Source organism: Homo sapiens, chromosome 2 (assembly GCF_000001405.40).
Source record: "Homo sapiens chromosome 2, GRCh38.p14 Primary Assembly".
NCBI classification, from domain to species: domain Eukaryota; kingdom Metazoa; phylum Chordata; class Mammalia; order Primates; family Hominidae; genus Homo; species Homo sapiens.
In genome coordinates, this window is record NC_000002.12 from 102368478 (window position 1) to 102384604 (window position 16127).

Below are 16127 nucleotides of genomic sequence, written 5' to 3' on the forward strand. Positions count from 1 at the left end.
AGGGATGGGGTTGATGCAGAAACACCCTAGTCCAGTCTGCAGGGGCTCACTGGGAGCCAGGTGGCAGTGCTAGTGGAGGAAGTGTGTGTCTGGCAGCCAATCGCAACCCACAGCTGGCGGCAGTGAGAGAGGGCAACACGGAAGGGCTTTGCATTTTACTCATGAGGTGGCCCTAGATTGTGCCAGAATACTCGAAATTGGGTTGCATAACTTCCATGAAATGAGCACAGCCAACTGAAAGCATCACCCACACTTACCGAACATGTTTCTTTTTAGATGTACCTACCTACATATGTAGGTAGTTTTATAGAGACTTGAGACTGACCTGTAAGAAATAGCTCAGGGCCAGCTGAAGGTGATGGTGTGTAGATTTCATATGTAGCAGATTTCTTTTAGAAGCACTTCTAGAGTGAGTCCTGATCATTATCAACCATGCTGTTGAGAGCAGAGTGAGCTACCACTGTGAAACCTTGGTAGCACTTCTGTAGTTTTGCACCAAATCAGGTCATTTTTGTTTGTTTTTATACATAGGAACTCCCAGGCATCAGAAAAAAATTAAATAACTCTTTTGATAAAAATCAGTACATCTTTAGATGACCTTTTAAGAGTGATAATTACAGAAATGGGTCACAACTGGGATTTTTCATAACAAGCTAAGGAAGAATGAATACTCACAAATGGGGTAAAGGAAAAAGAACAACAAACACCGCCCCCCCCACCACAAACTTCCAACTCCTGATTGAATGAAGGCACAATTTAAAGGAATAAAGTATTCTGGACAGGCCTGAGAGAGCACGTTGAGAGGAACAGCCAGGCATCTATGATCATCACTTGGAGATAACAGAAGCAAATGGCATTGGCCATCTTTCTGATACGGGTAGTAGAGAATACAGCCTGGCTTAGGAAGCAACAATGGAAGCAAGAGATTGAGGCAGGATGTCAGAGAGAGGTGTGGAGAGACAGGGTAGCAGATAGGAGATGCTAAGAAAAATGAGGTGTCCCAGAGTGGATATTGGAGACTGATCACTATGAGAGTAAAGTGTTGAGGAGAGAAGCAGCTTTGACAATGGCCTTGAAAATAAATGGGATTCTACATGGAAGCAGGTTGTTTTAGACACCCAGGAGCATAGAAGATACAGACATATTCAAATATAGCATAATTAGTAAGCAGTATTTACTGCAGATGTGTGTGTATACACATATGTGTTCTAACTTAGGTGTGTAACCCTTTGCAGTTTGATGTGGGATCTATCAGTGAACAGACTTTACACCTGAAAATTTCCCGTTAGAACAGTAATTCTTTAATTTTTAGGAGTACATTGCTAATAATCAAATGCCACTGAGGACTGATAATTTAATCCTGCAGTGAAAATCACTTTATCCCACCAAATTTTAAGAACGAAATCAACTAAGAAGGAAGGGGATACAAAAGGGATAGTTTTCAATGATAGAGATGAAGAAATGAAGGTAGAGGGAAATGTACACACAGAAATCTAATAAACCAATCCTAGGCTGACAGGCAGCAAGTTCAGCTTGGTGAGCAGCCTCAGAAGTGGGGGCTGGTGTTTATCCCCTGGTGTCTGTGGACAAAAATGAGTGGTTTTCATAACCAGGATGGGCTGGGCCTGCAGCAGGAAAGTGTGGTCACAGCTTTGGGTCAGTTGGCCTCAGTGTTAACCCTAGCCTTGGAGCTCCTGGATGGCAGGTGCAGTGTGTTGTTGATTGTTTCAGTGTTCCCAGAGCAGTGTCCTGCACATGGAGTGTCATCAGTCCTCTAGCATTTGTTGAGTGTTAGGAATTGAGGATTACAGAGGTAGAGAACAATGTAGTCTGAAAAAATGGGGATATTCATGTACCCTATTCCTTTTAAGCAACAAGTCATAGAGATCCAGAAATCTCTATCTCTCCAATTCATTGAGGTCAAAGTTGGGGAGACATTACGAAAACACACTTGAGAAGAAGGTGCTGCCAATGGGATCCTGAATCCATTTCAAGAGCCAGGTAGCTCTATCATGTCCCATGGCCATGGACCCACTGCCTATAACTGTGACAACAGCCTGCCACATTCTCCAGTCACGGCCAATCTTTTATAAATTCATGCCCAAGGTGAAGGGGCCAGATTCATTGGATTGTGAAAGTGTAGAATTGTGCAGAGCACTTCTGGCCTCTGGGGCCAAATAGATGTGCATTTGTATCCTGGCCCCATCTTGTAGCAAGTGTGTGGCCTGAGTGAGTTGTTTAACCTGTCTGAGATTTAGCATTCTCATCTGAGCCTAAGGAAAATAGTCATCTCCCTTGCATGTACATAGTCTAATACCTGGAACTCAGTAAGTGTTAGTCTTTTCTTCCTTCTATCCTATTGTAGACCTAAAGGGGAACTGGAAGAGCCTAAGGTGGGCACAAATGTGTCAGGCATAGAGGATAACTTAAAAACACGCATCTGCTGTATTTAGCAAATAAATCTATACATCACAGGTGCAGTGGAAGCAAACATGAAATTTGAAACATTTTCTCTTTAAAATCTTCATTTAAAAAATACTGTATTGTTTTCCAATTCCAGATCACCTTTTTTTGTTGTTGTTGTTGTTGTTTTTTTGAGATGGAATTTCGCTCTTGTTACCCAGGCTGGAGTGCAATGGCGCGATCTCCACTCACTGCAACCTCCGCCTCCTGCCTCAGCTTCCCGAGTAGCTGGGATTACCGTACCCAGCTAATTTTTGTAGTTTTAGTAGAGACGGAGTTTCACCACATTGGCCAGGCTGGTCTCAAACTCCTGACCTCAGGTGATCCACCTGCCTTGGCCTCCCAAAGTGCTGGGATTACAGGTGTGAGCCACTGCACCTGGCCTAGTGATAGTCCTGATCACTAATTTCTGATCAGGAGTAACAACAACTATAAAATCTATTCACACTCACTTTTGGTCAGTAAGGCATTTAAAGAGCTAATTCAATTACACTGAGGGCAGCAACTCCAGACTTTGGTTTATTCAACAGTAAAAGAAGGGGATTGGAAGAAGTTGCCTTGAGAAACAAAACCTAATATATATATACACACATTTAGAAAACAACATCAGGAGTTTATAGACCTTTTGAAACCAAAGCCACCCTCCCATCCTGGGCCAAGACTCTCTGAACTTATCCATCAGTGAAGATCACTGACATTGTAAAGATTTGCTTTTCTGACATCCATAATATATTGTCTGCAGTAGGATATGTGCGTGTGTGCGTGTGCATGTGTGTGTCTCTGTGTGTAGACTGCTTAGGTTTTCATTTATTACCCCCTGCTCCCATGACAGTTTTTAAAGTTCTTGCTCTTCTGAATCAAGCGGAGGCAGAGCAGGGTTTGCACATCAATGAATCAATCTCTTTAATAAAAATAAAGGAAAAATATTGTAACTGGTTACTAAAGGGAAGATGGGTGATATTTGCAAAGTTTCTGTAGCATTATAAAATACCTTTACACTTTTATTCCATAGAAATTATACTCAGAAATGGAAATTAAATGTCATCAGAAGAAATAAACACAGCTGTTTCACTGAAAGACAAGTAACTAGTAAAATTGTGGAAGTTAAAAAATTTTTTCAGATAACCTGTGAAAACAGTTACTATCAAACACTGGTCAACAGCACATCATTGTATAAGGTAATGCTTTTATAATATTTTAACTTTAAGACTTGATGGAAAAGATAAAATTCCCAAATGAGGGGCTGAGAGCTACCATTCTGGTCTCATAACAAATAAGCTGCCTGATCCCACATGGCTCACTTGCCCTGTTTGAGCCAAGTATCCTCACTGGCTTGTTGTCAAGAGCTGATACATAGTATTAAAATATGTTCCACAGTAGTTTCCCTGGATTTGGTGTTCAATAAATGATCACAGTTTCTTCTCCCACACTCTTCCTTCATTTTCCTTCTCTTTCGATAAGTTAGTTTTTAGGAATGCTAGTTTAAGGATTTCCATTTTCTCCTGTCACATGTACTTAACATGTAAAACTCAATTGTATATGTTTTTCTGAATATATTAGTTCATTTTATAAAATTGGAAATGGTAATGCTTTTATAATATTTTAACTTTAAAACTGAAAAATGAAGAAAGCAAAAATCACTCATAAATCCATCACAGACTTTTTTTTTCTGTGAAGCATCTGCTTTTTAAAAGTGGTATATTTTATTTTTTTATGTTTTTTCCTCTAAGAATTACGTTGTGACTATCCCTTCACATCTTTAAATGATCTTCTAAACATGGGCTTTCAGTTTTTATGTGCCTGGTTTCATCTAACTAACCCCCTTGTTTCGTCTAACTAATCCCATTGTTATTGGACATTTGTGAATTGCCTATTTTTCACTATTATTTAAAGGCTAAAATGAATACCATTTCCACAAATCCTTGGGTGTTTATATGATTTGTCCTTCAACCAAATCCCTAAATGTAGAATTACTGGATCAGAGGCTGTGAGCATGTTTTTATGTCTTTTTCCTCACACTATCAAACTTGTCTCCAGGGAGCTCTGCCAATTTTACCCCACACTTGAAAAAAGAATCCCAATTTTTTGTCACCTCCACAACACAGGGAAATAATGGTCCCAGAATGTTTAAAATTTGATATGAAAAATTTCTAAAACTCCTAGTGGTTTTTTCACTTTTCTTAGTAATAAATTAAACTTTTGTATATATTTATTGCATCTTACTGCAATCAGGCAATTTTGTGGGTTGCCTGTTTATTTTTTTCTGTTTTCTTCAGTTGGTATACCTTTTACCTGTTGAATTTTAAAAGCTCTTATACACCATGGAATACTATACAGCCATAAAAAAGCATGAGTTCATGTCTTTTGTAGGGACATGGATGAAGCTGGAAACCATCATTCTCAGAAAACTAACACAGGAATAGAAAACCAAACACTGCATGTTCTCACTCATAAGTGGGAGGTGAACAATGAGAACACATGGACACAGGGAGGGGAACATCACACACCGGGGCCTGTTGTGTGGGGTGGGAGGGTAGGGGATGTATAGCATTAGGAGAAATACCTAATGTAGATGACAAATTGATGGGTTCAGCAAACCACCATGGCACGTGTATACCTATGTAACAAACCTGCACATTCTCCACATATACCCCAGAACTTAAAGTATAATAAAAAAAAAAGCTCTTTTAGACCACGCTATAGGAATTATATATACACATACATAGCGTGTGTGAGTGTAGTGTGTGTATGCATAAAAAACATACGCACTCCCATCCACACACATACGCAACACAAATTGTGTAGTTCAGGGGTCCCCAATCCCCATGCCACTCCCCCTCACTAACATTACCACCTCCTGTGAGATCCGCAGCTGCATTAGACTCTCACAGGAGTAAGAACCCTATTGTGAACTGTGCATGCGAGGAATCTATGTTGCATGCTCCTTATGAGAATCTAATGCCTGATGATCTGTCACTGTCTCCCATCACCCCCAGATAGGACCACCTATTTGCAGGAAAACAAGCTCAGGGCTCCACTGATTCTACATTATGGTGAGTTGTATAATTATCTCATTATATATTACAGTGTAATAACAATAGAAATAAAGTGCACAATAAATGTAATGCGCCTGAATCATCCCCAAACCAACCATTCCCCGCTCAACCCCTGCCCACCCTGGTCCATGGAAAAGTTGTCATTCATGAAATCAGTCTCTGTGTCAAAACGGTTGGGGACAGCTGATGTAGTTTATATGGAATAACAAATCTGAATAATATGACTCTGTCGTGGAAACTTTAAAGACCTATAAGAGAGTGGTCTGAACAGAACTTGGGAAATCTGAAGCGAGTGATGATAATATCCTTGAAATTTTTGTTTGTGCCTTATGCTTGAACACTGTTTACTTGTGATTTCCAAAGACAGCTCTTATCTGAAATGTTTTCTAAACACTCGAATCAGTCCTGAGTTGACTTTATTCTATTTCCCATCAATGTACAAATGTGTTACAGTATATGTAAATTAGTGAGGCTTGGTGTGCTGAGTTTTAAGAAATTCCGTTCGGGTGCAGTGGCTCACACCTGTAATCCCAGCACTTTGTGAGGCTGAGGTGGGCGGATTATTAGGTCAGGTGATCGAGACCATGCTGGCTAATATGATGAAACCCCGTCTCTACTAAAAATACAAAAAATTAGCTGGGTGTGGTGGCACATGCCTGTAGTCCCAACTGCTCGGGAGGCTGAGGAAGGAGAATCACTTGAACCCGGGAGGCAGAGGTTGCAGCGAGCCGAGACTGGGCCACTGCACTCCAGCCTAGGGGAGAGAGCGATACTCCGTCTCAAAAAAAAAAAAATGAAATTCCAAAGTGCAGCTATTTAAATTATGAGCATTGGTGCACCAAGGATATTTAGCTAAACAATTGACCACAGGGCTAAGTATTCTAAGCCTGTTGACTGATCATGACTTCACCCGAGAGCAAGGAGGCTAATTCAGTAGATAATTGATTGGAAAGGAAAATGAAGAGTCTCTGATCTTTTCTATAGCTTGAAAAAATTAGTTTGGCTTTATAAAATTTTGACTTATACATAAATAATTTACTGACGTGAGGTACACATGTGGGTGCTTCACGGGCACATTCTATGCACAATGGGTCTAGCCCCAGTGGCTGCCAGCTCTGAGGGAGAAGTCTGTGGGCAGTAGGTTCTCCTTGCTTGGTGTTTGCAGAAACAGTGTCCAATGGTCAAGGATGGCCATTCAGCCCCCAGACATCCCATGTGGTCCCTGCATGGCTCTGGGACCTACCTCTGGGTGTCAGATGTGCTGGATTGAAGAAAGTGGCTTTATTACAATTAGTATTAATTCCTGTGACATGTATGGAAATGTGTGTGAGAGAGAGAGAGATGTTTGAGTGTACCTATGGATTTGAATATTGCTGATGCATTTCTAATCAGCTCGCTGGCTTCTGATGGAGGGTGTCAAAGGTGTGGGTGGTCTGCTAGCTACTCATTCTCTGAGTAATTCTCCACCCATCCCACTATCCACCCCTTGGATGCATAGTCCAGAATACACAAAATTGGACTGAACATGTATGAAATAGAGTTGTGACTCAAGCAAGGGTTTTTGAAGTAGTGTTCTCTCTCTCTCTCTGTCTCTCGCTGTTTCTCTCTCTCTGCATGTGTGTAAAAGAGAGAGATGAAAGAATATTGATGAAAGCAGCTACAGTGCTCATATTGCCCCATGCTCTACTTCCCAGCATATATTAATAATGATAATCATGCCAACAGCAATGGGATCGCATTTAATTGTTTCAGTAAAAGTAGTACCAAGTAACTGGGACATATGTCCAGGAATTGCTACTTTCCATTCTTTTTTCCTTTTTCTCTAAAGATCTTTAACTCAAAAATTTGGATCACTGTAATATCAATTTGGCTTTTACTTAAAGTATTTTAACTTGTTTTATTAAAAACAGAACTGTAAAAAGCTACTACTGGAGAACAATAAAAACCCAACGATAAAGAAGAACGCCGAGTTTGAAGATCAGGGGTATTACTCCTGCGTGCATTTCCTTCATCATAATGGAAAACTATTTAATATCACCAAAACCTTCAATATAACAATAGTGGAAGGTAAGGGAAATCTTAGAATTGGGAAGAAACAGACGTATTTTAGTAAAATGGAATTTTTTCATTCTTCAAAACTGTGTAGGAATTGAGAGTCCACTTAGTTGGGGTTGTGACCACACCACTAGTTCAAATATGATGGTCAAAATCTTCATTCTGGTGCTCCTCTACTTGGCTAAATAAACCTTTCTTTTTGGCAGGAAATGAAAATCTGTATGAATAAACCTCACATGAGTCAGCTCTCTCTTATATATGAAATTTGAGTAAATTGTGGAATCTTTTGTTGTTGAATTTACATTTTCACTTTACAAGTATTTAGTGAAGATATCTATACTCAATAAACTGTACTTAGCACAAGGAGGCAGGGAAGCAAGGAAGTATGAGATGAAGTGAGCACTGTACTATTCTCAAGGGATTTGATTCTAATCAGGAGAGGCAATAAGCTACATAAAGGTGTATGAAACAGCATCATCTGTGAGGCTGCAAGAGTGCAGGGGGAGGTTGGAGGAAGGACAGATGCAGGAGGCTCCATTTGACCTGGGTCTTGGAGGGGGAGCCTCATGAAACAGTGACCTGCTGGGGGAAGGGATCTCCACTGGGAGAGTGTAAGGAACACTGATGTGCTGGTGGGAGGGGAGGGATGATGGACCCAGGCTGTGTGTGATGGAGGAACAGAATCCTGGGACATTAAAGGTATTTAATTAAACCTCACCCAGTGAAGATATTCATCATAAGGCACAGCCAATGATTGATCATCCAGTCCCTTCTTGGGAACTATCAAGGAAATGACCAAATCACACAGCAGTGTAGTCCAGATTTTAATATCTGATTGTTGAAGTCTTTTTTTTCCATTGAGTCCAAATATCCCTTCTCGTAGCTTCCAACCACTGATTTTGATTTGCCTTCAAGAATTTCACAGATTAAATCTGGCTCCTTCTTAAAATGACAGCTCCTTTCGTGATTTGAAGACAGGTTGCTTATCCAGTCTGGATTTTTTTCCCCATCATCCTGAGAAACTGGAAACTGTAACACTTGTGTGGGTGGCTTGTTCAACAAAATCTGTGGGCTCACATTTGCTACAGCCTTTGCTTTAGCAACATCTTTCTTCTTCACTACAACCATATAGCTATATACACCCACATGTTGCCACAGTAACAAATTATCCCAAGTTTAGTGTCTTCGGTAAAATCAAGGTTTTGCCAGAATTGCTTTACTTCTGGAGGCTGTAGGGGAAAATGCGTTTCTTTTATTTTTTTATTTATTTTATATTTTTGAGATGGAGTCTTGCTCTGTTGCCTAGGCTGCAGTGCAGTGGCGCAGCCTTGGGGCTCACTGCAAGCTCCGCCTCCTGGGTTCACACCATTCTCCTGCCTCAGCCTCCCGAGTAGCTGGGACTACAGGCACCCGCCACCACTCCCGGCTAATTTTTATATTTTTTTTAGTAGAGACGGGGTTTCACCGTGTTAGCCAGGATGGTCTCGATCTCCTGACCTCGTGATCCCCCTGCCTTGGTCTCCCAAAGTACTGGGATTACAGGCATAAGCCACTGCACCAGGCTGGAAAATGTGTTTCTTTGCCTTTGCTTTCTCCAGCTTCTAGAGACCACTTGCATTTCTTGGCTTGTGCCACTTCATTTCAGAGCCAAACACATTTGCTTCCCTCACCTCATCTCCTTTTTGACTCTGACCTTTCTGTCTCCCTCTGATGAGGACCTTGAGACAGCATTGTGCCCACCTAGATAATCCAGGGTGATCCCCCTATCTCAAGATCCTTAATTTAATCACACCTAGAGGTTCCTTTTGCCATGTAACATATCGTATTCACAGGAACTCAGGAGTAGGATGTGGGAAACTTCAGGGTCTATTATTCTGCCTGCCACAGCCCAGAACCTGGGAAACCCATAACTGAATTTTAAACTCAAAAACTTAAATTCTGTGTATAATCATCTACCCTAAACTCTCCAACTTTACTTTCCTACATCTATTTTTAATCTCATATAAATCTCTGTTACTTTGATACTTTCAGAACCTACACCCTCTTTCCCACCATCTTTGCTTTCTGCCCATCAGCAGCTCTTTCCTTCCTTCTTTGATGAAGCTGTAGGAATATCCATTATTAAAAGGGTGCTTGTTATGGGCCAGGGATAGTGCCAAGTACTGGAGTTGAATCATGTCATATAATCCTCACAACAGCTCTGTGAGACTGTGGCCTTGGGTGAGTTAATTTCCTTAGTTCCTCTCTGCCTCAGATTCCTCATCATGAAATGGGACAGTAATGGTTCATCCCTCGTAGGGTTGGCTGACAATGACTGAGTGAGTGTGTGTACAGCTCTAGGATGGCTCTAGGGACAGTAAGAGTTCTGCTGTAATGACCATCTCCCACTGCTAGGTTCCCAAACCTCACCTGCAGCACAAGCTATTCTTCTCCCATAATTGTCCATCTTATTTTTCTTGTCTTCTTGGAGAATGTCAACTGAGTCTCTCAGGACTCCACTCAAATGTCGCTCCTCCTTCATGCCCCCATGGCCTCTTGTTTGTATTTCTGATTGCTGTCAGAATTGCAATACATGTGTGTCTCTGTCAATAACTTGAAAGGTTTCTGGAAAGGTTTGCACTGACTTCTGTTCCTCATCTTTGCATCTTGGATACCTACAATTGGCACTTGGCACATAAAGGTGCTCATTACATGCCTGTTGTGTGCATCACTGAGACAGAAACAACTCCTTTGATGCCACATACAACAAGAAGTCTAGACACTTCACCATCCTGGCTATTTTTCTTTGGATTTGGCAAAGTTTGCCACGAGTCTACAGAAATTAGAGCTTGGAGTTGGGGAAGACAGCCAGGAGGTGTTCTGACCTGTGTTGAGGACAGAGAGGTTCTGAGCTCGTGCCTTCTCCATGTTGTGTCTTTATTACAGTCCCCTTGCCTTCACAGATGGAGATCTCTCAGCTGCTACATAGTGACTGCTGTAGTGGTGGAAAGGTGTGATACCTCTCCTCCCCATCCTAAGGGTCATGGCAATGTTCCCATAACAAAAGACAGATTAACAAGGGGCAAGCAAGTTTTATGTGACATGGGAGCCTTCAGAAATGAAGACCCTGGGGCCGGGTGTGGTGGCTCATGCTGGTAATCCTAGCACTTTGGGAGGCCGAGGCGGATGGATCACCTGAGGCCAGGAGTTCGGGACAGGCCTGGCCAACATGGCAAAACCCCATCTCTACTAAAAACAGAAAAATTAGCTGGGCTTGGTGGTGGGCACCTGTAATCCCAGCTACTTGGGAGACTGAGGCAGGGAGAATTGCTTGAACCCAGGAGATGGAGGTTGCAGTGAGCCGAGGTTGTGCCATTGCACTCCAGCCCAGGTGACAGAGCAAGACTCGGTCTCAAAAAAAAAAAAAAAAAAAAAAGGAAAGAAATGAATACCCTAAGACTCAGGGAAACCCGTTTTTTTCTTTTTAAATGCTTAGGTTCTAGAAGCATGGACAGCCATGTAGAAATGTGACTGGACAAAAGGGTATGACCTAATGCTAATGGACTGAGTGGGGAAACCCAGCAAGACCTGTCCAGATTCTTCTTGGCCTCTCTGTTATATTTCCTTTTCCTGGGTAGAGGGCAGAGGGTCTTAAGACTTACTGTCAGACCAAAGAAGGCCAAAGAATTTATAGCCAACTCCTAGACAGAAAGGCAGGAGAAGGTTAGAGTCATGCTTCTAGGTTCTATGGCTTACTTTGGGGAAAAGGATTCTAGTTTTTATGATCTGCCTTTGGGAAGAGGGAGTCTGGTTTCTGTGACTTGCTTTGGGGAGAATGGAGGCATGAAGCAGGAGGGTCAGAGAGATCTTGCTTTTTGAGGCTGCTTTGAGGCCTTCCAATGTCGTTGAGTTTAAAGTACTCAGCCTGCCAAAACACCATACTTTGGGACTGTTTTTGGAGCCCAGGAGTTCCATTGCCTTCAGCTTGTGCTCGTGAATCACAGTCACCTGAATTCCTACTGGGCATCTGCCACTTTCCTGGTCTTATGCTCTGGCTGATCGGGTGGCGTCTCCTCCTACTGCTGACAACCTCTATGCCATTTTGACTCTGATAGCCTCCTAGGTAGGCTGGCCATGTCAAGGGCATGCACTAAGATGTTGTCTTCCTTCCATGACCTACATGGGACTGCACCCTTCACTTTACACCAGTTGTGCAAACTCAGGGCTGATCTGGATTTCCAATGATATAATTTGAGTGTTAGTAGACAGCATCCTTTGCTGAAGATGTACTTCACACTGCCCCTTCTCAAGTCTCCCATGTAAGTTTCTGGGGGAAAAAATGGATCCAGAGAAAGGTAGTCAGTAGCAGTTTTCCCCCTCACACCGAAATTGCCTCCTGCCCTTTGTCTTTGAATTCAAGCCGGTGTTGCTTCTTACTGTCAGACCTGAGAGTTAGTTCTTTCCCTGGATACATCTCAGCTCCTCCTGCCTGTTTGCCAACATTCCAGGCTTGCCCAGAGACTCCAAATCCCAGGATAACCCAGACCTGACTCTGAACTCCGGAGTCCACTGTGCTGGTTTCATTCTCCTGTTCTTGCTCACATATCTGCCCACTGCATTCTCAACTGCTCACTCTGGCACTGCACTTTCTGAGAGGGCTCAGGGAGGTGTGGGAGCTGCAGGAGCACTCCTGAGTCTCACTGTACTCCACTCAACCAGGCATTCTGCTTGCTGAGCACCTGCAAGTCCCAGAAGGGATGTTCTGGACATTGCTTGGGAATGCCTCCAAAGCAGTGGGGCTACTAGCAGGGAACAGTCCTGGTCATGAGGAAAGTTACCAATGAGGATATCAGGGCTAACAATAACTTGACTATGCACCAGTTCAAATCTATGACCGCAGCTGCTCTTAGGGTTTGCAGTTGCCAGCTGCCTTAAGCAAGAGCCTGTTGGGTGATGACTTACTTCCCAAGCATCACCAGATGGGGACTGAGGGGGCAGAATTTATGTGCAGTACTTCCAGTCGGGGTCAGAAGCCACTCAGGAGCAGAAGTAGAACTTGGCCTACAGGCATGAACTTAACAGCAGGGCCAGGGCCAAGGTGAGGTTCCTGGGGCACAATATTGAAGGGACACTGCTCTCAGCATCCTGCAAGGGAACGGTGGGCACATAGAGTGAGGGATTTGCTTTTCTCAACCTGTCTTGGCCCTGCAACCTGTAAATCCATCACTGGCCAGCTGAGGAGGACAGATGGAGAGAATCGAGACAGGGCAGAAAGGCTCTTCCCAGTGATTTTGCATGGTTTGACTCTTGCACGTTTGATCATCTGAGAGTCAGGCTGCAGTGGATGGGCATCTTCCTCTGCCTTTTAGTTGAATTGAGCAGAAGCTGCAGATCTGAGTGAGAGAAAACCAGATACAAGGTGCTTTCAACATCTGTGACCTTTAGTTAATGCAAATAGGACTCAAGTGAACGTAAACCAGTAACTATTGGAATCTTTGTTACATGAAATGAGCATATTATCATAGATGCTTGTCATAAAGAAGCTCAAGGCAACACTAATACATTTGTCTTTTCTTTTGTCACTTCTAGATCGCAGTAATATAGTTCCGGTTCTTCTTGGACCAAAGCTTAACCATGTTGCAGTGGAATTAGGTATATTTCAATATACATATATTCTGCATTTATAAGTAGGGGACATAATAGAGCCTTCCAAGCGTAAATATGATTCATTATTGAATGACACTGGATACACATTTCATATTTACTGAATAACATTACAAAACTAAGAAAAGAGTGCCATTTTTTGAATGTTGCCACTTTTAACCTGACTTAAAAGTGGCAACATTTTAAAGTTCAAGAGACAGTGGAACTGCCTGTGGTCTGTAGACTAAGGTTTTTGTTGTGCTGTGTGTGGCTTGTCTTTAACTCTCTCTATGGTCATTTCTAAATATGAAAATTTAGGCCGGGCATGGTGGCTCACGCCTGTAATCCCAGCACTTTGGGAGGCCGAGGCAGGTGAATCACTTGAGGTCAGGAGTTTGAGACCAACCTGACCAGCACGGTGAAACCCCATCTCTACTAAAAATACAAAAATTAGCCAGGCATGGTGGCATGCACCTGTAGTCCCAGCTACTCAGGAGACTGAGGCAGGAGAATCTCTTGAACCCAGGAGGCAAGGTTGTAATGAGCTGAAATCACACCACTGCACTCCAGCCTGGGCAACGGAGCAAGACTCTATCTCAAAAATAATAATAATAATAACAATAATAAATTTAAAAATTCCGTGAGAGCACTCTGGAGAGATGAGTCAAACTAATTTTGTGGTGTGAATGTTTGATTAATTGATTCACTTTGAATCAATTGACTGAATTGATTGTATATTTGGAGTTTGTCTAGATAAGTCTTATGAATCAACATGTCCAATTGAGTAATTTCTTTCAAAAGAGAAAGGAAAGAAAGAAAGGAAGAAATTCACATATGCTAAATATGCTAAGCCAGGTATCATGCTAGGTCATTGAAATATATTGTTGAATTAAATCCTCCAAGCAACACTGAGGCATGTATTCTCATTTTATGAATTAAATAATTGAAGTGCAAAAAGGCTAAGTAACTTGTCTAAAGTTAAATCACTAAAAAGTGGCAAGTCTCTGTTTGGGGACTTTGCTTCCAAAGTCCCCACCTTATAACCACAGTTGGGGTCACAGTGGTTTATATGACCACATGGGCCCAGTGCAGCTGGGTCCTATGCCATTTGTACATGAGGTTTACCTGCTTTATATTTTTATTTATTTCTGTCTTTGTCTTTCTTATTTTTTTCTTCTACTCAGTGGGGCTTAACTTGTATCTTTTGTTCTAGTTTGTTGACCTGAAGAGTTAGATAATTAATTTTAATTATCCTCTGGTAGTATATACCTTCAAACTCCAAGTTTCCCTGTAAACACTACTTTAGCTGTTTCTCATATTTTCATTCTATTCAGTTTAAACCATTACTTAAAATTTCCCTTATGATTTCTTTTTCCAACAAAAAAAATTGGTATTTCTTAATTTCCAAATATTTGGTGAACTTTCTAGTTCTTGTCTCTTATTCATGTCCAGTTTAGATTCATTATAGTCCAAGATTATACACAGTGTCATTTCAACCTTTTGGAATTTGTAGTGACTTACTTAAGGCCCACAGTATGGTATATCTTGCTGAATGTTCCAAGTGCATTTGAAACAAAGGTATATTCTATAGGTTTTTGTTTTATTATTCTTTAAATGTCTATTTGGTTAAGTTCATTAATGGTGTTGTTCAAAAAATTTATATCCTGACTAATCTTTTATCTGCTTGTTCCATGTGTTGCTGAAAGAGATGTGAATATCTCCAGCTATTATGGTCAATGTGTCTCTATCTCCTTTAGTTCTGTCAATTTTTGTCTTACATAGTTTGGAGCTATCTTATATGCATACACGGATTTATGCTCGTTGAATTAACACTTTTATCATTATGAAATATCTCTCTTTATCTATCATAACACTTCCTCTCTCAATGTGTAGCTCTGTCATATGAAATAATCACACAAGTTTTCTTTTGCTTGGAATTGGCATATTTGTCTTTTTTTAAACATCCCTTTACTACTAACATTTTTTTTTGTTCTATACATAAGTGTCTCTCATAAACTGCATGTATTTGGGTCTTTTTTGAAATATGGTCAGTATGGTGTTTAGTCCATCTGTATATTTAAAATTACTGTTACAGTTGCTATATCATATATGCATGATATACAAATATTCAATTTATTCTTTTTAAAATAAATTACACTTTGTTGAAAATGACCATATTTCCATCCACTTGTTTATCTTTTCCTCTATTTTCTTTCAAACAGTTACAGTTTTTAATCTGCTAAATTCAGCATCTGTAGGTCTGCTTCTATTAGCTGTCTTTTCTATTGATTATGGTGCACATTTTCTGTGTCTTTGTATGTCTCTTAACTTTTTATTGTTGTTGATCTTTATGTATCAAACAATTAAAGTGAATACAGTTTGTGTTATTTTTTCTTACAAGTAGGTAGCCTGAGAGTTGAGTATCTCAGTTGACTCAGAATTGAGTTGGGGTGGCTGGGATGTAGGTATGTTCACTCCAATCTGTCTTCATCTCTGATAGCTGGTGAGGGAGGGGGTGCTGCAGTCATGTGTTTGATGCAGGCCTCTTCTCTAATGAGACTTGCTCTCCTGATTACCATGAGACTGCAAGTGATATCATACAGCCTTTACATCCTTTTACGCTGTCCGAGCGCTTAGCAGTAATTCTGCAAGCCTGTGCAGCTGCCGAGAGCTTCACTGGATTTTCTTGTTTCTATGAGACTCTTTCTGTTAATTACAAACCAAAGCAAATTCTTCCATGGAATGAAATGGCCACCTATCTTAGCTCACCCTAGAAAGGATCCTTCTTAAGTACGCTTGTAGTTCAAAAATTTCTCTTTATTTTCTCTGTACTTTGATGTCTTTAATGTTTGCTTAATTTAATTTTTTTGTGATTTATCCATTTGGTTTATCTAGAAGTCTCAGTGAGAGTATTGTCCTGATGCTACGAAA

The 16127-nt window shown here is 41.2% G+C and overlaps 1 protein-coding gene across 16 annotated transcripts in view; it reads left to right on the forward strand.

Annotated features, from left to right (window-relative positions):
• Positions 1–16127, forward strand: part of IL18R1 (interleukin 18 receptor 1) — a 42981-nt gene that overhangs the window by 12682 nt on the left and 14172 nt on the right. For 13 of the 16 annotated variants that reach the window (XR_923054.4, NM_003855.5, XM_024453204.2 and 10 more), the window contains 3 exons: positions 3476–3641; positions 7430–7586; positions 13143–13205. Coding sequence is in view for 11 of the 16 variants with exons in the window: in NM_003855.5 (NP_003846.1) it covers positions 3476–3641; positions 7430–7586; positions 13143–13205 (386 nt within the window). In the remaining 5 variants the exon portion in view is untranslated. Of the gene's footprint in view, positions 1–3475; positions 3642–5459; positions 5517–7429; positions 7587–13142; positions 13206–16127 lie in introns of all 16 variants that reach the window. The other 3 variants (NM_001371421.1, NM_001282399.2, NM_001371424.1) reach the window with 2 other exon arrangements.